Source organism: Homo sapiens, chromosome 1, assembly GCF_000001405.40.
Source record: "Homo sapiens chromosome 1, GRCh38.p14 Primary Assembly".
NCBI classification, from domain to species: domain Eukaryota; kingdom Metazoa; phylum Chordata; class Mammalia; order Primates; family Hominidae; genus Homo; species Homo sapiens.
This window is the reverse complement of record NC_000001.11, coordinates 1,471,181-1,490,548: the sequence shown is the minus strand read 5'-3', so window position 1 is coordinate 1,490,548 and position 19,368 is coordinate 1,471,181. Positions and strand designations below refer to the sequence as shown.

Sequence of the window (19,368 nt, the reverse complement as noted above, 5' to 3'; positions counted from 1 at the left end):
CCCAAGTGAGGCAGCCAAGGCCGCGGACCCCACACCATGAGGTGGAGGCCGGAAGACAGGCAGCTGGCCTACACCCATGCCATATGGTGCCTGGATTGGGGGCCGGGTGAGGCGGGACACTCACCGTTTTCCTTCTGTGGCCGGCTTAAGAACACAGTTGTCAAAATGCAGTCTCACCAGGCGCTCCCGCTCCTCCTGCTGCGGCAGGTCGAAGTGGACCATCACGTCAATGCGGCTGTTGATGGCACAGTCGAACTGCTCAGGCAGATTGCTGGCCAGGACCAGCATGAATCTGTAGGACAGGGATGGGGAAGGAAACGCTGGGGCTGCCAGCTGAGATGCCCCGAGGGCAACGGGGGCTCCTCAGCCCCCTCGGGGAGACTTTTTGGGAGAATCTAAAGCGGCAGCTTGTGAGCACAGGAAACATGGGGAGAACGCAGCCACAGCCCTGGTCACCCGCCTGCCTGCCCCACCACGCCCAGCTGCCCCCCGCCCGGCTTCTCGGGCCTCTGTTCTTGCCCTGTGTGGTACTTCCCCGCTGACCCTCGCCCAGCCTGATAGGCAGTGCCGGGAACACCACTCCCTCCTGCTACCTGAGCCCCGCTGTGCTGGGAGCAGGGATGCGGGACCCAGAGTCCCTGTCAAGATTATGGCCATGCGAGCCAGAAGCAGGACCTCGGGGGCCCGGGTTCAGCAGAGGCTCAGCAGGGCCCCAGCCTTGCCTCTCTGGGAAGGACCTGAGTCAGGGCTCCAGGGAGCGTCGAACGGCAGCAGCTGACCCAGGAGCCCAACGTGCCTGAAGAGTCAGCCACGGCCGACCAGCAGGACTTGATCCTCCGTGTGACACGTGACTGGGGCTGGAGGGGCCCAGGAGACCAAGAAAACTCAAAATTAAGGGATTTGGGAGGGAAGAGGGAGCCTGGACATAGGGCCGGTCACCCTACTGGGGACCTCTGGGCGGCAGCAATCAGACCACCTCCCTTGCAGGCACAGGACCGCAGAAATCTAGGGGCAGAGGGACCTGCAAGCTGGGGCGGCGGCGCACAGGGCCGTGAAGACAGGACTGACCCCAGCTCTGCCCGGGAGGCCCCTGCATGTTCCTCAATGACACCCCGTGCTGTCCCGAGCTGGGCCGTTCCCAGGGGACATCTGAGGTGGGCACACTGAGGCCACAGCTGGTGCCCAGCACTGTGAGCCAGGGACCCTCAGTGGGAACCAAGGGCGACGGCTGCACAGCCCTGCCCGGGGGCTCAGGACCCGAGGGGCTCCCTCACTTGTTGCTGTGTTGGCCCATGTGGTACAGGAAGGCGTTCAGTGTGGCTCTGAGGTCCTTGCTTATCTCCTCCTGCAGAGAGAAGGTTCCAGCCTTAGGCACCAGAAGCAAAGCCTTGTAAACAGCCAGAGCAGAAAGTCCCACAGGCCTCCCTCCTGCAGGGAGCAGGGACGTGGCGACACTTTCATGGATCTAAACTCAAAATCCTGACCAGGGCCAGGGGCGGTGGCTCAAGCATGTAACCCAGCATTTTGGGAGGCTGAGGCAGGCGGATCACCTGAGGTAGGGAGTTTGAGACCAGCCTGGCCAACATGGTGAGACCCCATCTGTACTAGAAATACAAAAATTAGCCATGCATGGTGGCACACCTGTAATCTCAAGCCACTTGGGAGGCTGAGGCATGAGAATTGCTAAAAAATAAAAAATACATTTAAAAAAAAAGCCTGACTGAGGGCTCACATCTTTAATCCTAGCACTTCAGAAGGTCAAGGCGATCAAATCTCTCGCTTTTTTTTTTGAGACGAAGTCTTGTTCTGTCTCTCAGTCTGGAGTGCAGTGGCACGATCTCAGCTCACTGCAACCTCTGCCTCCTGGGTTCAAGCGATTCTCCTGCATCAGCATCCTGAGCAGCTGGGATTACATGCGTGCCCCACGACGCCCGGCTAATTTTTGTATTTTTACTATAGACGGGGTTTCACCATATTGACCAAGCTGGTCTTGAACTCCTGACCTCGTCATCCACCTGCCTTGGCCTCCCAAAGTGCTGGGATTACACACGTGAGCCACTGTGCCAGGCCAAGGCCGGTGAATTTCTTTAGTTCAGAAGTTTGAGCCCTGCCTGGACAATGTGGGAAACTCCATCTCTACTAACGTTACAAAAAAATTAGCCGGGCGTGTTAGTGTGCCTCTGCAATCCCAGCTTCTCGGGAGGCTGAGGCAGGAGGACTGCTTGAGCTGGAGATGTCGCCCCTGCACTCCAGCCTGGGCGACAGACACCCTGTATTAAAATAATAACTGTATGGCTGGGCGTGGTGGATCACGCATGTAATCCCAGCATTTTGGGAGGCCAGGTGGGCAGATCATTTGAGATCAGGAGTTCTTGACCAACTTGACCAACATGGTGAAACCCCATCTCTACTAAAAATACAAAAAACTTAACTAGGTGTGGTGGCAAACACCTGTAATCCCAGCTACTCAGGGGGCTGAGGCAGGAGAGCAGCTTGAACCCAGGAGGCAGAGGTTGCAGCGAGCCAAGATTGCGCCACTGCAAGCCAGCTTAAGGGCTGCAGCCTGGCCCAGGATGACAGCCGCGCCCACCCGACCACCCTCCTGTGGCCAGACAGAGGCTTAGTGACACTCACAGTGGCTCGCTTCCGAAGGAAGGCGTCTGCTTCATCCATGAAGAGCAGGAGGCTGTGAACGAGAGAGAGGCCAAGCAAGGCGAGAGTGACGCCAGGAGCAGCCCACAGCAGCGTCCGGCCGCGGCAGGAGCAGGCCAGGCAGGCAGATCCCCACGGGGTCAGGCTCTGCCCCATCAGGAGCCCTAAGTCCTGGACTCGACAGAAGCCGATCAGCCTGGCCTCTGGGCAGCTGACCACGTCTCAGCCTCAGAAGGCAGTGGGAAACCAACTACACAGGGGGCAACAGACTCTGCCCTGCAGGTTTCACCCACACACCAGCCAACCACACATGGGGCAACAGCCTCCGCCCTGCAGGTTTCACCCACACAGCGACCCAGTGCAGTGCTCAAGAGTCCACGCAAGGAGCAGGGTCTTTTTTTTTTTTTTTGAGACAGAGTCTCGCTCTGTCTCCCAGGCTGGAGTGCAGTGGCGCAATCTCGGCTCACTGCAGGCTCTGCCTCCCGGGTTCACGCCATTCTCCTGCCTCAGCCTCCTGAGTAGCTGGGACTACAGGTGCCCACCACCATGCCTGGCTAATTTTTTGTATTTTTAGTAGAGACGGGGTTTCACCAAGTTAGCCAGGATGGTCTCAATCTCCTGGCCTCGTATCTGCCTGCCTCCGCCTCCGAAAGTCTGGGATTACAGCCGTGAGCCACCACGCCTGGCGCAGGGACAGGTCTTCTAAAGTGAAAGGTCAAAGGCCAGAGGGGAGGGTGCCAACCATGAGGATCGTGGTTCCAACGAGGACAGCCGAGGCCACAAGGGTGCCCGGGCTGTGCCCTGCGCGGGGTCACTGTGGGACCTATTGAAGGGAGTGTGCCATGCTGTCTTCAGCTAACTTTCAAATGGTTCTAGAAAAGGCAACCAGTGCCCACGCCCACCTGCAGGCGTGTTGGGGGGAGGGCGGCTGTGGAGGAGCCTCCCCTGCAGCTGTGAAGACCCCTCTCCCCCTGCACCCACCCACCTCCCTTCTGCCCTGAGCCAAGTATCCCACTGGCAGCCTCCACACGCTGGGGACCTCGTGTCCACCAGGGTCCACACTCAGGGGACTTTCCCTCCGAGGGACCCTCCATTGGGCCTCCTGCGTGGCCACAAGGACAGAGCTGCAGAAAGACAGGGTCCCCAAGAGACACCTGGACCCCCTTCCCAGAAGGCAGCCTGCTGGGCCGCAGCCAAGGGCCTGGTGCATGCTGTGGGGACGTCTCACCCGCGCCGGCTGGTATTGGCCCAGTCAAAGAGCTTGTGCATGGCGGTCACGCCTTCCCGCCCCATGGGGGCCACGTCCCCGCCTGTCATGATGGCGTAGTCCATGCCTGAGTGCAGGGCGAGTTTCTGGACAAGAAGAGTGAGGGGAGACAGAACAGATGTTCCCTCTGCCTCTGCAAAGCCTGCACACTCCACCTGGAGTGTGGAGCCCCTGCCGGGTGTCCCTGTCTGGAAGCCACAGCCTGCCAGACAGGAGACGTCCCCCGCCTGGAAGATGGGAGGCGCTGCTGCCCACACCAGCACCCTGAGCCTACACGAGGGTAGGCAAAGGCCTAAGGGGGGTCCATTCCCCAGGCGGCTGAGGCCCCCAGACACCTGCAGGCAGGTGAGACCCCAGCGGCCCCTGGCCCACCTGTTCAGCCAGGCGCTCTCACCTTGGCAAACAGCGTCTTCCCGGTGCCTGGTGGCCCATACAGCAGGATGTGCCTGTACAGGCCCCGGTTCTTCTTGGTGTTCCTGGTTGCTATGGCGATGTCGCGCACCCGTGCTTCCAGGCTGGGCTGCCGGGGAAGACGGGGGTTTGGGGGAGACACTCTGCACCCACGGAAGCCTCGGTGACAGGGGCTGCGGGAATGCCCGGGTGCGGACTCTGCTCCTCAGGAAGCCGCCCAGCTCGTGGGCAGCCTATCTATCCCCGGCACAGTCCAAGCAGTTGCATCTCAGGACCCAAAAGCTCCTGGGCGCCACCACGAGCGCTAGCAAGGGCCACAGCCCAGCCCAGCTCCGGGGTCCCCTCCCTGCACCTCCCCGGTCCCAGGCACACCGACTTACACTAAGCACAACACCCTCCAGCACGTCCTGGGGTCGACTGAGGAGCCGCCGGCTGACCTGCCGGAGGGGAAGGGGAAGCACCATTGGGTCACCTGCCACAGCCACGGAACAGCCACCAACGCACACACATGCTCGGTAACACACAGAAACGGAGCTGCCCCAAAGCACAGCCAGGACCGGCCCGGAGCTGGAACCCTGCCCCGCCGGGAGACCAGGAGGCTATTGCTGGGATTAGGGGCATTTTCCGGTTCCTTATTGGCTTTTATTTTCTTAACCACCTACCCAGTGACCTGTGGAGAGCAGGCACCTCAGGGGCTGGCAAGCGGCGCGGCTCCCCAGGGAGGCCACCAGACGCCATGGCCTGTAGCAGCTTCCCCGACAGACGGCCGCACACCCAAGTCCCGGGTCTTGCAAGGACCCCGATGTGCTCCCAGGCCCCATCAAGAGCCCTGAGCAAGGGACACCGAGGCAGACAGGGGAAGGGTCTCACTGATGCAGACCCCTAAGGTACAGCGCCAGACAGGAAAACCCACCCGTGAAGCAGCGTGCGGGTGCCTGTTATCCGGGGAAAGGGAAGGGACGGGAGGGTGTGCGTGGGCTGTGCTCGTGGGGCAGAAGGGACTCAGCCAGGAACTGCACTCAGGGAGGGCCAGGCCTGCGCCGCTACCTGGATGGGGTGCCGCAGCGCCTCCAGCACCGTGATGCGGGACGTCTCCCTCACTAGGGACGGCTTCCCCAGCCGAGCCTCGATGAAGCGGCCAGTGACGGCTGTCGCATTCTTGGCTGAGTAGACCCCGACAGCCAGCAGCGTCAGCCCAGCCACCTGCAGCAGAGACACCGCACTGGCGCACCGGCCCCCACCGTCCCTCCCTCCTAGAGCAGGAGACGCACGGGGCTGCCCCCACCCTCTCTCCGCCTGAGGGAGAAGCACAGGGCCGTGTGCTGGCCCCACAGGAACCCGAATTCCCAGCCCCGAATCCCACAGCCACGCGGTTACAGGAGGCAGGTGGGGCAGTCATAACGCCCTCACTCAGGGCCATTTTCTCTGCAACTGGCAGCATAAATCCTAGAAAGCCTCGGTCGCTGAGCGGGGCCCTGGGCAGACCCAGCTGGATGTCACAGGGCCACACCCTCTGGTACATCCTTGGCCACTAAAAATGGTACTTTATTCCTGGAAAACAAGACTAACCCAAAATCTCTAACTTGTTTTAAAAATCGTTTAGGCTGGCCAGGTCTGTAATCCCAGCACTTTGGGAGGCCAAGGCCGGCGTATCACCAGAGGTTGGAGTTCAAGACCAGCCTAACCAACCTGGAAAAACCTCGTCTCTACTAAAAACATGAAAAAATTAGCTGGCTGTGGCTGAGCACGGTGGCTCACGCCCGTAATCCCAGCACTTTGGGAGGCCCACGCGGGCGGATCACGAGGTCAGGAGATCGAAACCATCTTGGCTAACAGGATGAAACCCTCTCTCTACTAAAAATACAAAAAAATTAGCCGGGCGTGGCGACAGACACCTGTAGTCCCAGCTACTCCGGAGGCTGAGACAGGAGAATGGTGTGAACCCAAGAGGCGAAGCTGACAGTGAGTCGAGATCGCGCCACTGCACTTGAGCAGCACACTTGAAAGTGAGACTCTGTCTCAAAAAAAAAAAAATCAAAGACCCAGAAAGCGAACCCGACTCCATTTCGCAAAAACTTTCGTTATTCGGAATAAAACCCTGAGAGTTTGAAGTTCAGATTCTTCTCTCGTTTAAAGCCTCGCTCTTTTGTGCCCAGGCTCTGGCCTGCTGTGGTGGCGCCCCAGGTCGCACATGGCTGTGTCCTCCGTCCCCCCACCCCGCCCAGCACACAGTAGGTGCCCGGCACTGAGTGGGCACTTGCTCTGCCGTGGTGCCGGCGCCCACTGCTGTGACTGCAGCACCTGCCGGTGGCCTGGTCAGCGTGACGGTGAATGTTGCAGGTGGTGTTGCCATGTTGGTGAGACGGTGTCACCTGAGGACATGAAGGAGCTGCTTAATGCGCCCTTGACTTTGTTTTTAGAGAAAGGGTTTTGTTCTGTGGCCAGGCTGGAGTGCAATGGTGCCATCTTGGCTCACTGCAACCTCCGCCTTCCAGGTTCAAGCAGTTCTCCTGCCTCAGCCTCCCGAGTGACTGGGATTACAGGCTCAGGTCACCACACTCAGCTAATACAGACCTGTGCCACGAGGCCCGGCCAATTTTTGTATTTTTAGTAGAGATGGGTTTTCACCATGTTGGCCAGGCTGGTCATGAACTTCTGACCTCAAGTGATCCACCCGTCTTGGCCTCCCAAAGTGCTGGGATTACACCAGTGAGCCACCAGGCCTGGCTTATTTATTTTGTTTGTTTTTTTGAGACAGAGTTTCGCTCTTCTTCCACAGGTTGGAGTGCAATTGTGCGGTTTCAGCTCACTGCAACTTCCGCCTCCTGGGTTCAACCAATTTTCCTACCTCAGCCTCCCAAGCAGCTGGGATTCCAGGCGCACGCCACCTTGGCCTGCTAATTTTTGTATTTTTAGCAGAGATGGGGTTTCACCATGTTGGTCATGCTGGTCTTGGGGTGCAGTGGCGGGATCTCGACTCATTGCAACCTCCACCACCCGGGTTCAAGTGATTCTCCTGCCTCAGCCTCCCGAGATTACAGGCACATGTCACCACACCCAGCTAATTCTTTTCTTTTTTTTTCTTTTTTTTAGTAGAGACAGGGTTTCACTCTTACCAGGATGATCTCGATCTCCGGACCTCGTGATCCGCCCACCTCCGCCTCCGAAAATGCTGGGATTACAGGCCTGAGCCACTACCGCCTGGCCATTTTTTTCTTGAGACAAGGTCTTATTCTCTCGCCAAGAATGGAGTGCAGTGGTGCAATGTTGGCTCACTGCAGCCCAAACCTCCTGGGCTTAAGTGATCCTCCTACCTCAGCCTCTCGAGTAGCAGGACCACAGGCGCCACCATCACACCCAGCTAATGTTTTATTCTTCGTAGAGATGGGGTCTCACCGTGTGGCCCAGGCTGGCAACTGCATTTTTTTCTCCCAGCTCAAGGAGGGAGGAGCAGCCGAGCCCAGCAGGTACAACGTGGGTTTGCTCTGTGCTGGGAGAGCTACAGGGCTGTGCAGAGCCGGCAGGGACAGGACCTGGGGCTCCAGGAGGCCCCCACATGCTGCCTCTCAGCCACCTGCCAGCCCTGTTTTATGAATATGTTTACCGTGGCTGTCACTTTGTCCCGGTCTGTCACAAAGGCACGGAATCCTTCCCCAAACAAGGTGCCAGCCGTCCTGCGGGGAAAGCAGTGGTGTGACCAGGAAGGACACGAAGATCCGTACCACGCAGCGAGAGCAGGTTGAGGGTGAGGCCCTGACATGGCGGCACGGCCTTGCCAGGACAGAGGGGCAGTGCCCCCACCAAGGAGTCAGCCTATGGCGGCCAGGCCTGGAAGAGCTGGAGAGCGCCCTGGGACCAGCGACTCACACCTGCGGGGCTCCATCTGTGGCCGGCCCGGGCCTGGGCAGTGCTCACCTGATGGACTCCAAGACGGTCTGACGGTGCTCGGACGCCTTCAGGCGGATCTGCTCGCGGATGATGTCTGCATTCTCCCGCTCGGCCTTGGCGCGCGCCCGGGCCTCGGTCTCCACTCGCAGCATCTCATTCTTGTGCCGCAGCTCCATCTCCCGCTCCACGGTGGCTGCCCCAGAGAGGCAGGGCAGCTCAGCACCATGCAGTGCAGCACGTCCACCTCCACCCACACTGTGGACCGGCCCACGCCACGGACCGGCCCACGCCACGGACAGACCAACGCCACAGACAGGCCCATGCCACGGACCGGCCCACGCCACCAACAGGCTAAGGCCACGGACAGGCCCGCACCACGGACCGGCCCACGCCACAGACAGGCCCATGCCGTGGACCGGCCCACGCCACCAACAGGCTAAGGCCATGGACCGACCCACTCCACGGACAAGCCCAGTCCATGGACAGGCCCGTGCCACAGACACACACAGACCTTGGTAGGGACAGCGCCACAGGCCGGCCCTGCCCATGGATTAGGGCAGAAATCCGACCCAGAGGCCTAGGCAACTTCTCAGGACGAGCTCTTTGAAGCAAAAAACCAGAACGCGGAGTTCTGAAGGAAGCCCCCCTCACACAGAAACACAGCTGTCAGAACTCAGACACGCGTGACGTGCCACGTGCCTGGCTACTGAACATTAAACGCACACACCTCGCCACAAGCCCACCCACGGTGAAGAGTGGTGACAGACGTTTGCCTGGAGCACTCGCCAACAAATGCCACATGGCACCAAATACCTGTGATCCCCACTGAAACCAGGACAGTAAAGACCCATGTTCTAGGCAGAACGCAGAGGCTCACGCCTGTAATCCCAGCACTGTGGAAGGCCAAGGCAGGCGGATAATGAGATCAAGAAGTTCAAGACCAGCCTGGCCAACACAGTGAAACCCTTTCTCTACTGAAGATACAAAAAAATTAGCTGGGCGTGGTGGCGGGAGCCTATAATCCCAGCTACTCGGGAGGCTGAGGCAGGAGAATTGCTTAAACCTGGGAGGCAGAGGTTGCAGTGAGCTGAGATCGTGCTATTGCACTCCTGCCTGGGTGACAGAGCGAGACTCCGTCTCAAAAAAAAAAAAAAGGCCCCTGTACTTCCCATGAAGTGAAGCAGCTCCTGCCCTCCCTGAACAGATCCTGGCGTCCACTCGCAGACAGAGGTGTCTTCCGAGAGGGAGCCCCACCCCGCAGAGCCCCAGCAGGCCTCGCCCACTGCACTGGTAGCTATGAGGGGCCGGGCGGCAGAACTCAGGCTCAGAGTGCACGCCGGATCCACAAGCAGCCCCCGCCACCTCCGCCCCAGCCAGGAGAGCAGACAGCCTACCTCGCCGCATGGCTTCCTGCTTCTGCACGGACTCCTCCTGCTTCCGTAAATTCTCCTCATTGAGAAGTTGCTGAGAAGAAGCCGCAGAAAAAGAGAAAAGCCTTTAAAACCAGAAAAATGCTCAACACCAATCCAGAGGTTGCGTCCGCCCCAGGACCACAGAACTCCAAGCGTCCTGGGCACCTGGGGACCTGCAGACGCCGCACCCTGACACAGACACGGGTGACATCGGCTGGGACGGCAGTCACTGAGGGGATGGGTTCAGGGTCCCAAACTCCCCAGTGGCAGAAACAGCCCCCACTGTGGCTTCCCTGACAAGGGCCACCGCGGGCCGACCTCCCAACACCACTGCCCTGATTCAGGCTGGGCTTAAGGAAGCTTCTGTCTTCCGCCAATTAAACGTTAAAGCTACAATGCCCACAACAGGCAACATGTGAACCCCGCCTGCGAGCTCAGGACTGAAGGTGACGGTCCCTAAGGACCAGGGAACAGATGTCACCCAAGCTTTTCTCATAGACCCAGAGACCCGCCCGCCGCCACTGACCAGCCCTCCCAAGCAGAACCTCCCAGACTGCCAGCTGGGCGCCCGGGTGGGAGACAAGGAGGCTTGTCGTGCCTGGAGAGCCGCTGCTGTGGAACCCACACAAGGGGTCTGTGTGTGGGGGTGTGCAGGGCGTGTGTGTGCATGCCCTCACGTGCAGTAATGTGTGTGTGCCCATGGGTGCGGGGGTGTGTGGGGGTGGGGGGTGGGGGTGTGCCCTCGTGTGCAGGTGCGTGCCCGTATGTATGAGGCACACTGTGAGTGGGGGTGCGTACACGTGCCCGTGTGTGTGTTTGCGGCGGTGTGCGCGTGTGCCCATGTGTGGGACTGTGTGCGTGCCCGTCTGTGCAAGGGGGTGTGTGCCTGGGTTGTGTATGTGTGCCTATGTGTGAGGGGGTGTGCGTGTGTCCATGCCTGTGTGTGTGTGTGGTGGGGTGTGCCCGTGTGTGCAGGTGGGTGTTTGTGCATGTCCGGGTGTGTGCGCGCCCGTGTGTGTGGGCGTGTGCATGCCCGTGTGGGGGTGTGTGTGCAGGCCCGTGTGTGCGGGGCGGTGTGTGCCTGTGTGAAGGGGTATGTGTGTGGGCTGTGTGAGCGGGCCCACGTGTGCGGGGGGGTGTGTAAGCCCCCATGTGTGCAGAGGGGTGTGCATGCCTATGTGTGATCGGGTGTGTGTGGGAGGTGCGTGCATGCCCCATGCGGGAGTGTGTGCCTGAGGACCCATGTGTGTTTGGGTGTGTCTGCATACCTGTGTGTGTGCGGGCTGTGTGAGCATGCCCCTGTGTGGGGGTGTATGTGCAGGCCTGTGTGCAGGGGTATGTGTGCCTGTGTTGTGGCGGGGTGTGTGTGTGCGTGCCCGTGTTGTGTGGGGGTGTGTTTGCGGGTGTCTGTCCATGCCCCTGTGTAGGGGTGTGTGCGCACAGGGGTGTGTGTGTGTGGGCCCATGTTTCCCCATGTGTGCAGGGGAGTGTGTGGGCCCGTGTGTGCAGGGGTGTGTGTGTGCCCATGTGTGCAGGGGTGTGTGTGCCTGTCTGCCGGGAGTGTGTGTGCGAGGAGTGTGTGTCTGTGTGGGCAGGTGCCTGTGTCTCCGTGTACATGTGTGCACACATCTGCATGTGTGCCTGTACACGTGTGCTGGTGCGTGTCTGTCCGAGTAGTTTCCCCTGCTCTAGCACCCACCGTCAGCAACCCCATCGTTCTTGCCCCGTGGCCTCTGACCCACTGACTGGTCCCACAAAGCCACCTACGTTCTCAGGGACGCAGGCGCCTCGCAGGGGAGGCTGAGCTCACCTGCTGCTTCAGTTGGTCCTCGTAGCGCTGCCGGGCCAGCTTGTCTTGATACTGGGCCCTCTGGGGGAGAAGAGGGCGGCAAAGACACATCTCAGCCGGGAGCTGCAGTCTGGGCCGACTGGGCGGAGCGCCGGGGACTCCGACGCGCCATCAGCCTCACACAAACGTGGGGAGGCGCGGGGACCTCCCGTCCGGCTCAGCAGTGAGGGACCTTACAGGTCTTAGGCGTTTGTGCAAGGCCGTTCCGAGGGCAGCTCTAATGGCTGACTCCAGAGTGCCCCGGGACCACACCCAGCTCCCAGTCCTGCCCCAGGCCGCTCCCCGCAGCCGGGCGGCCTCCCTCGCGGCCTCTTGCGCTCTTACGGCCTGGTGCTGCCGGGTCTCCTCGCTCAGGGTCTTCCTCCTCTCCTCAGCCTGCGCCCGGATCTGCTCGCTCTTGAGCTGCTCCACGGCGGCCTCATACTCCTGCAGAGCACAGCACTCACCAGCTGGCACTTGCTCAGGGCTGGCACTGCCTGACAGCCGCTCCTGTGTCTGCACAGCTCCGGCACGGCAGAGACTCCGTGCCCAGACTAGTGTGTGCAGCAGGTTCAGGGCTTCCAGCTGCATCTGCACCCAGGATCAGGCCCTGGAGGAATCCAGACCCACAGGCACAGAAGCACCAGCAGAGAAGCCTGCGAAGGCCCCCGGGGAGGGAGGTCAGACACCAACCCCACCCCACAAGGCTGTTTCTGGGCAGCTCCAGGCAGGTGCTCACTTTTGGACTGTGATGAGGGCAGAGCTCGTGCCCATTCTAGGAATCCTGCTGAGTGGGCCGGGCGCCATCGCTCTTGCCTATAATCCCAGCACTTTGTGAGGCCAAAGTGGCTGGATCACCTGAGGTCAGGAGTTCAAGACCAACCTGGACAACATGCTGAACCCCCTTCTCTACTAAAAATACAAAAATTCGCCAGATGTGGTGGCAGGCTCCTGTAGTCCCAGCTGCTCGGAAGGCTGAGGCAGGAGGTTGAACCCGGGAGGTGGAGGTTGCAGTGAGCCGAGATCAAACCATTGCACGCCAGACTGGGGGACAGAGTGACACTCTGTCTCAAAATAAAATAAAATAGGCCAGGCGTGGTGGCGCGTGCCTGTAATCCCAGCAGTTTGAGAGGCCGAGGCGGGTGGATCACCTGAGGTCGGGAGTTAGAGACCAGCCTGACCAACATGGAGAAACCCCGTCTCTACTAAAATACAACATTAGCCAGGCGTGGTGGCGCGTGCCTGTAATCCCAGCTACTCCAGAGGCTGAGGCAGATGAATCGCTTGAACCCGGGAGGCGGAGGTTGCAGTGAGCCGAGATTGCGCCATTGCACTCCAGCCTAGGCAAGAGTGAGACTCCGTTTCAAAATAAATAAAATAAAATAAAATAAAATAAAATAAAATAAAATAAAAAATCCTGCTGAGTGAAAAGAAATGAGGTGAGAATGTGAAGAAGACCCCCTCCCTCAGGACGACCAGATGCCCTCACCAACACCGGCCCTCCCTCAGGACGACCAGACGCCCTCACCAACACTGACCCTCCCTCTCGGGCGGCTCTGCGGCAGCGTCTCTCACCTCCCCTTGTTTCCCTCTGTGAAATGAGGCGCCCAAGCTCGGCCCTGGCCCCACTGCTGCCCATGTACACGCCCCTGGCCCTACCCACCAGTAGCAGCCCCACCAATCTCCACGCCTGAACCCCATGTGCGCCCCGGCCTCCTCGCCCACACCGGCCCCACTCACTTTGAGCTTGGACTGTTGCTCCAACTGCAGCGTCTGCTCCTGCATCTGCGCCAGATTCAGGGCCTCCTTGGCGTAACCTGCGGGCGCATGTGGCACGGAGAGCAGGTGTAGGATACACGGATACCAAAGCCTGGCCAACATGGTGAAACCCAACCTCTACTAAAAATACAAAAACCTAGTGGGAAGCGGTGGTTCACGCCTGTAATCCCAGCAACTCTGAGGCTCAGGTGGGAGGATGGCTTGAACCCCGGAGGCAGAGGCTACAGTCACCCAGATCACACTGCTGCACTCCAGCTGGACAGAGTGAGACTTAAGAAAAATAAAATCTCCAACCTGGCCAACATGGCGAAATCCTGTCTCCACTAAAAACACAAAAAAAAGCTGGGTGTGGTGGTGCACGCCTGTGATCTCAGCTACTGGGGAGGCCAAGGCTGGAGAATTGCTGGAACCTGGGAGGCAGAGCTTGCAGCGAGCCGAGATCGCACCACCGCACTCCAGCCGGGGCAACAGAGCGCAACTCCGTCTCTAAAAAAAAATTATTCTAGCAGGGCGTGGTGGCTCACGCCTGTAATCCCAGCACTTTGGGAGGCTGAGGCGGGTGGATCATGAGGTCAGGAGATCAAGACCATCCTGGTTAACACAGTGAAACCCCGTCTCTACTAAAAATACAAAAAATTAGCCGGGCGTGGCGGCGGGCACTTGTAGTCCTAGCTACTCAGGAGGCTGAGGCAGGAGAATGGCGTGAACCTGGGAGGCAGAGCTTGCAGTGAGCAGAGATCGAAGCAATGCACTCCAGCGGGGGAGACAGCAAGAGTCCGTCTCAAAAAAAAAAAAATTATTCTAACACAGAAAGACGTGTAAAGTAGGCAGGGACCCCCGATGCTCCTGGGTTGGTGCGTTGTTCCCGTCTCTCTTCCTCCCGCAGCCCGTCTCACTTTTTTAAGCCTTCAGAGTCAACTGCAGCAAACACGTCACTAACTAGAGCCCAGCGTCTGTTCTCAGCTCAGGTGTAATTTTTGGAGGTGACTGACGCAGGGGGAAGTGCCGTGGGGAGCACTCGTTGCATTTAGACAGAGGCAGCGACACTTTGGTGTTGGGGTGGGTCTGCTTGGGCCTGTGGTTAGGCACGAACTGGGCTGACGGGCATCAGCGTCACATTTCAGGAAGCGCCTTGGTAGCTAACCTCGGGGGCCCCAGTGAACAGAGCACAGATGAGACCGGGACCTGCCTCTCAGGGAAGACAGTGCCAGGTCAACGGGTTTGGCTGCTAAACTCGGGAAGCCAAGGGCTGAAGCGACCCCGGGCTCTCAACCACTCTCACTCTGACCCCGAGGGGACTGAGGGTGTGTCAGTCCCCCAGGGTCCTGCCACAGAGCAGTGACAGGAACGTGGGTGTCACGGTGAGGAGCTCTGCCTGTTTCCTCCCGAGGGGACCTTTGGCTGGATTAAGCTGAGGCCACTCCCTCCCCTGAAAATGGCTCATTGACAGTTCCTACCCCCAGTGACTCTGGGGAGGAGGAGAGGGGAAAGAGCAGGTCAGGTGCCCGTGTGGCCTCTCGGTTATTAGAATGAGAACAATCATTCACCACTTTGGTGTGACCCTGTGCCAGGGACGTGCGTCCCAGCGCGTGAATTCACACCCACAGGGCACGAGGCTCTCCTCCAGGCACCCCCTCTGTGGAGTGCAGGGCGAGCGCTGGTGCTCACAGACAGTTCTGGGATAATGTACTGCTGTGACTTCCAAGGACAGGCCGGAGGAGGGGTCAGGGCAGACTCTGGGAACGAGGCGGCATGGGGCTATAGCCTCAAGGGACAGAGGAGGCAGTCGGTGAGGAGGAGCCGCCCGTTTGCCTGGAGAGCAGCAAGGACAAAGCAACGGGCGAATCTCGGCGACCCCGCTGCCAGGAAAGGGGCACGGAGGAAGCCAGGAGCGTCGGGAGGGGCCGGGCTTGCAGAGGGGCTACCAGGCAGAGGGGCAGGGCAGGGGGCACCCGGGGAAAGGGGGCAGTCAACTCCGGAGAAACCTCTCTCACCCGCCAGCAGTGAGGCCAGGAAGGAGAGAAGGGATCAAAATGAAAGAGCCCACACCTGGAACACAATCCACAGAAACAAAAGCCTGATGGAGGGCTCCCCACGGTGCACCTGGAGACCCTGCCCCGGGCCCCGCTCCACCACAGAGAGGGCAGACCAAGGCACTGGCAACGCCGGCAGAGCGGACTGCGGGTCAGGAGCTCCGGGGCCGCCAGGACTGGAGCAACTCAGAGGCACAGGTCTGCACTATGGGGAGGCGGCCTGAGGCTGCTCAACCAGGCCTGTACCACTGCAGGGGGCCGCAGGCTGATCACTACGATTCAGCTTCTGGAAGTGGGAGAAGTTTCAATCTCTAAGTGAAGTTAGCGGGTGAAAACCCCCAGGAACTAGGACACAAAGGAACCCTCCAAATAAGCCTGCAGCAAGAAAGTCAGTCACCAACATCCGCTGTCCTCCGAGGTGCCCTGAAGTCCAGCCCTTGATTCCCATCCTAACCTGATCGTTAAAATTACCGAGGAAGGCCATGAGCAGCGGCTCACGCCTGTCATCCCAGCGCTTTGGGAGGCCGAGGTGGGCGAATCACCTGAGGCCAGAATTCAAGACCAGCCTAAACAACATGGTGAAACCCCGTCTCTAGTAAAAAAACACAAAAATTAGCCAGGTGTGCTGGCGGGCGCCTGTGATCCCAGCTACTCGGGAGGCTGAGGCAGGAGAATCGCTTGAACCCCAAAGGCAAAGGTTGCAGTGAGCAGAGATGATGCCACTGCATTCCAGCCTGGGCGGCAGAGCCAGACTCAGTCTCAAAAACACACAGAAAAATTACGGAGCAAAGCCGGGCGCGGTGGCTCACGTCTGTAATCCCAGCACTTTGGGTGGCCGAGGCGGGTGGATCACGGGGTCAGGAGATCGAGACCATTCTGGCTAACATGGTGAAAACCGGTCTCTAAAAAAAATACAAAAAATTAGCCGGGCGTGGCGGCGGGCACTTGTAGTCCCAGCTACTCGGGAGGCTGAGGCAGGAGAATGGCGTGTACCCAGGAGGCGGAGCTTGCAGTGAGCCGTGATCACGCCACTGCACTCCAGCCTGGGCGACAGCGAGACTCCGTCAAAAAAAAAAAGAAAAAAAGAAAAGAAAAAAGAAAAATTACCGAGCAAGCCTGCAGTCCCCTCTCCTCAGGAGGCTGAGACGGTTGGACGGCTTTTACCCAGGAGGTCAAGGCCAGACTGGGCGACAAAGCAAGACCCCATCTCTTCAAAACAGAACACGCACTGTCGGTGGTGCCCAGCTAGGACTATCCATGTTAGCCTGGGCCTGGGCCCAAACCTGAATGTCCCTCTGGGGTTATGAGACCCAGCCGGGGCCAGAAACCTCAGCTCAGGATGTTCCCCAGCACCCCGGGGAAGGGCACAGGATGGAACCACAAGTACCACCAGGCCATCCCTCCTTAAACAGGGAAACTCTGTTTATATCTGCTTCACACCAGGGATTCCCTAAATGATCTTCTTTCTAAAAAGGAACCCCTGCTGGCAGGGTGCGGTGGCTCAGGACTGTAATCTCATCACTTTGGGAGGTCGAGGCGGGTGGATCACGGGGTCAGGTGGTCAAGACCACCCTGGCCAAGGTGGTGAAACCACGTCTCTACTAAAAATACAAAAATTAGCTGGGCGTGGTGGCGCGTGCCTGTAATCCCAGCTACTTGGGAGGCTGAGGCAGCAGAATTCTTTGAACCAGGGCGTTGCGGTTTGCAGTGAGACAAGATGGCGCCATTGCACTCCAGCCTGGCCAAAGAGCAAGACATCATCTTAAAAAAAAAAAGGTGGCATGCGGTGGCTCACGCCTGTAATCCCAGCACTTTGGGAGGCCGAGGCGGGTGGACCACGAGGTCAGGAGATCGAGACCACCCTGGCTAATACAGTGAAACCCCGTCTCTACTAAAAATACAAAAAATTAATCACGAGGTCAGGAGATCGAGACCATCCTGGCTAACACGGTGAAACCCCATCTCTACAAAATTAGCCGGGCGTGGTGGCGGGCGCCTGTACTCCCAGCTATTCGGGAGGCTGAGGCAGGAGAATGGTGTGAACACGGGAGGCGGAGCTTGCAGTGAGTGGAGATCACGTCACTGCACTCCAGCCTGGGCGACAGAGCGAGACTCATCTCAAAAAAAAAAAAAAAAAAAAAAAAGGAATCCCTTCTGTCTGGGCGCTGTGGCTCAGGCCTGTAATCCCAACACTTCAGGAGGACAAGGCGGGCGGATCACGAGGTCAGGAGTTGGAGAGCACCCTGGCCAACATGGTGAAACCCGTCTCTACTAAAGATACAAAAAAAATTAGCCGGGCGTGGTGCTGCGCGGCTGTAATCCCAGCTACTCGAGAGGCTGCGGCAGGAGAATCGGAGGCGGAGGTTGCAGGGAGCCGAAATCGCACCACTGCACTCCAGCCTCGGCGACAGGGCGATACTGTGTCTCAATATATAAATAAATAGAAAGAACCCCGGCTTAAACAAGAGTTGAGAACCACTGTATTCTTTCAATGAATTCAGCACCTTCTACGTTCCAGACTCCTAGCCATTTGAACTGCATCGTGCTACAAATCGTTAAAGCCACAGGGGAAAGGAAGGCTGGGGGAAGAGACCCGAGCTTAGGGAAGGTGCAGTCAGTGCTCACACCCTGAGGGCCTTGGGTCAGGGGTTTACTCAAGCTGAGCAGCACGGCCTGGCCTGTGGCTTCACAGACCTCGCCGTGCAAATGCTAACGTCTTCCAACAAGAAGTGCAAATCTGCTAGTCTCGTTAGAATCAAGTAACTCTCAAATACGCTTCCCTTGTTACGTGGAAACTGCTAGCAACCACCCAACAAACCCATCTACCCATCTGGCCACGCCTTGGCCTGTGCCACGTGGAGGCGGCAAGCGCAGAAGGATCCCGCACGCTCGGCGGTAACTGAAGACCACGGCCAGCCCCAGACCCTGACCCCTGTAACCTATGAGCGCCACCTCCGCACCGCTTTTCGCACCTGACCCGCTCCTGACAGCTGCAGAGGTGCAAACGGGTGACGGAAAGAGTCCGATCCTCCCGGCACGCGAGACGGCTCCGGCCGGGGGTGCTCCGGGGGCGCAGTCTCGCCCGGGAAGTGGCTGCCGACAGCAGCGAGGAGCGGCAAGGGCCAGGGCTCCCGCTTCCCCGGCCCGTCCCGCCCGCCCGCCCGCCCCGCCCCGCCCCGCCGCACTCACGCGAGTGCTCCAGCTCGCGCGCCGCCTTGGCGGCGCGCTCCAGGCCGGTGGGGTCGAAGTTGCTCCATTTGTCCTTGGGCGCCGGCCGGTCTCCCAAACCGCGGTCCCCGCCGCCCTCGGCCCCGGGCTGCGCGGGCGGCAAAGGCGGCGGCGGCCCCGCGCCTTCACCCTTGGGGCCCTTGTTAACGCCGAAGAGCCACGACATGCTCGCACCGCCGCCGCCGCTACCGCCGCCGGGACCCCCACCCGAGTCTGACTCGGGCGCGGCTGGGAGCAGCCTCCACGCGCCGCGAGCCGGTGGCCAGGACCACTGCGCAGGCGAAACACACACCCCTTCCTCCCGGCGACGGAAATGCGTAAGGGACACGCGCGCAGCCCTTGGATTGGCCGCGAGGGCAGTGACGCCATAGCGACGGCGCCGCAATTTAGGAGCGTGCTCCGGGGCGGCGGGAACCGGGGTGAGCGGGCGGAGGGCGGGGGGCGTGGTGAAGCGTCTGGGTACCGGAGCCGCACCGGGACAAAACTCCGGAGGGGAGTACTCGAACCCGGCGCAACGTCAGTCCCGGCCCGCAGCCGCGTCGGCACCACCCCGGAGCCCACGGTTCACGCGCTCGCGGCGGCCCCGACTCTCTCCTTGATAGGAATGGTTGACTTCACAGAATTATATGGAGTGACTCGTCCCACTGGATTGGAAACTATTTTAAGCCTGAATAATGTTATATACAATGAATTCTAAATTTCCCTTCAAAGAACCGGTATGTCAGTATGTTCAGTCTTTGTTCTGCATTTTAAAGTCTAACTTCCTCGCAGTTGCAATAAACAACTTTTTCCACCAGTTCTAATCAGTAGTTCATGTCATGTGCGTCCATGTAAAGAGTCCACCAAACAGGTTTTGTGTGAGCAGTAAGG

The 19,368-nt window shown here is 59.3% G+C and overlaps 1 protein-coding gene across 10 annotated transcripts in view, besides 2 other annotated features; it reads right to left on the bottom strand.

Annotated features, from left to right (window-relative positions):
- Positions 1-18,784, bottom strand: part of ATAD3B (ATPase family AAA domain containing 3B) — a 37,702-nt gene extending 18,918 nt beyond the window's left edge. For 2 of the 10 annotated variants that reach the window (XM_005244806.4, NM_031921.6), the window contains exons 1-14: positions 18,460-18,784; positions 13,199-13,275; positions 11,804-11,905; positions 11,441-11,500; positions 9,613-9,682; positions 8,246-8,411; positions 7,935-8,004; positions 5,378-5,533; positions 4,711-4,767; positions 4,314-4,439; positions 3,881-4,005; positions 2,635-2,686; positions 1,275-1,345; positions 125-292 (exon numbers count right to left, since the gene is read on the bottom strand). In XM_005244806.4, coding sequence (XP_005244863.1) covers positions 125-292; positions 1,275-1,345; positions 2,635-2,686; positions 3,881-4,005; positions 4,314-4,439; positions 4,711-4,767; positions 5,378-5,533; positions 7,935-8,004; positions 8,246-8,411; positions 9,613-9,682; positions 11,441-11,500; positions 11,804-11,905; positions 13,199-13,275; positions 18,460-18,664 — 1,505 coding nt within the window. In that variant the 5' untranslated portion in view covers positions 18,665-18,784. Of the gene's footprint in view, positions 1-124; positions 1,346-2,634; positions 2,687-3,880; positions 4,006-4,313; positions 4,440-4,710; positions 4,768-5,377; positions 5,534-7,934; positions 8,005-8,245; positions 8,412-9,612; positions 9,683-11,440; positions 11,501-11,803; positions 12,701-13,198; positions 13,276-18,459 lie in introns of those variants that run through there. The other 8 variants (XM_047431596.1, XM_047431588.1, XM_011542241.4 and 5 more) reach the window with 8 other exon arrangements.
- Positions 15,953-16,799: an enhancer, noted in NCBI's record as "H3K4me1 hESC enhancer chr1:1409130-1409976 (GRCh37/hg19 assembly coordinates)". NCBI's record gives its function as "activates a minimal SCP1, AML or CMV promoter by ChIP-STARR-seq in naive H9 embryonic stem cells {active_cell/tissue: H9 hESC(naive)}" and the evidence as "EXISTENCE:reporter gene assay evidence [ECO:0000049][PMID:30033119]".
- Positions 18,641-19,010: a silencer, noted in NCBI's record as "silent region_75". NCBI's record gives its function as "represses an Ori minimal core promoter by ATAC-STARR-seq in GM12878 lymphoblastoid cells {active_cell/tissue: GM12878}" and the evidence as "EXISTENCE:reporter gene assay evidence [ECO:0000049][PMID:35858748]".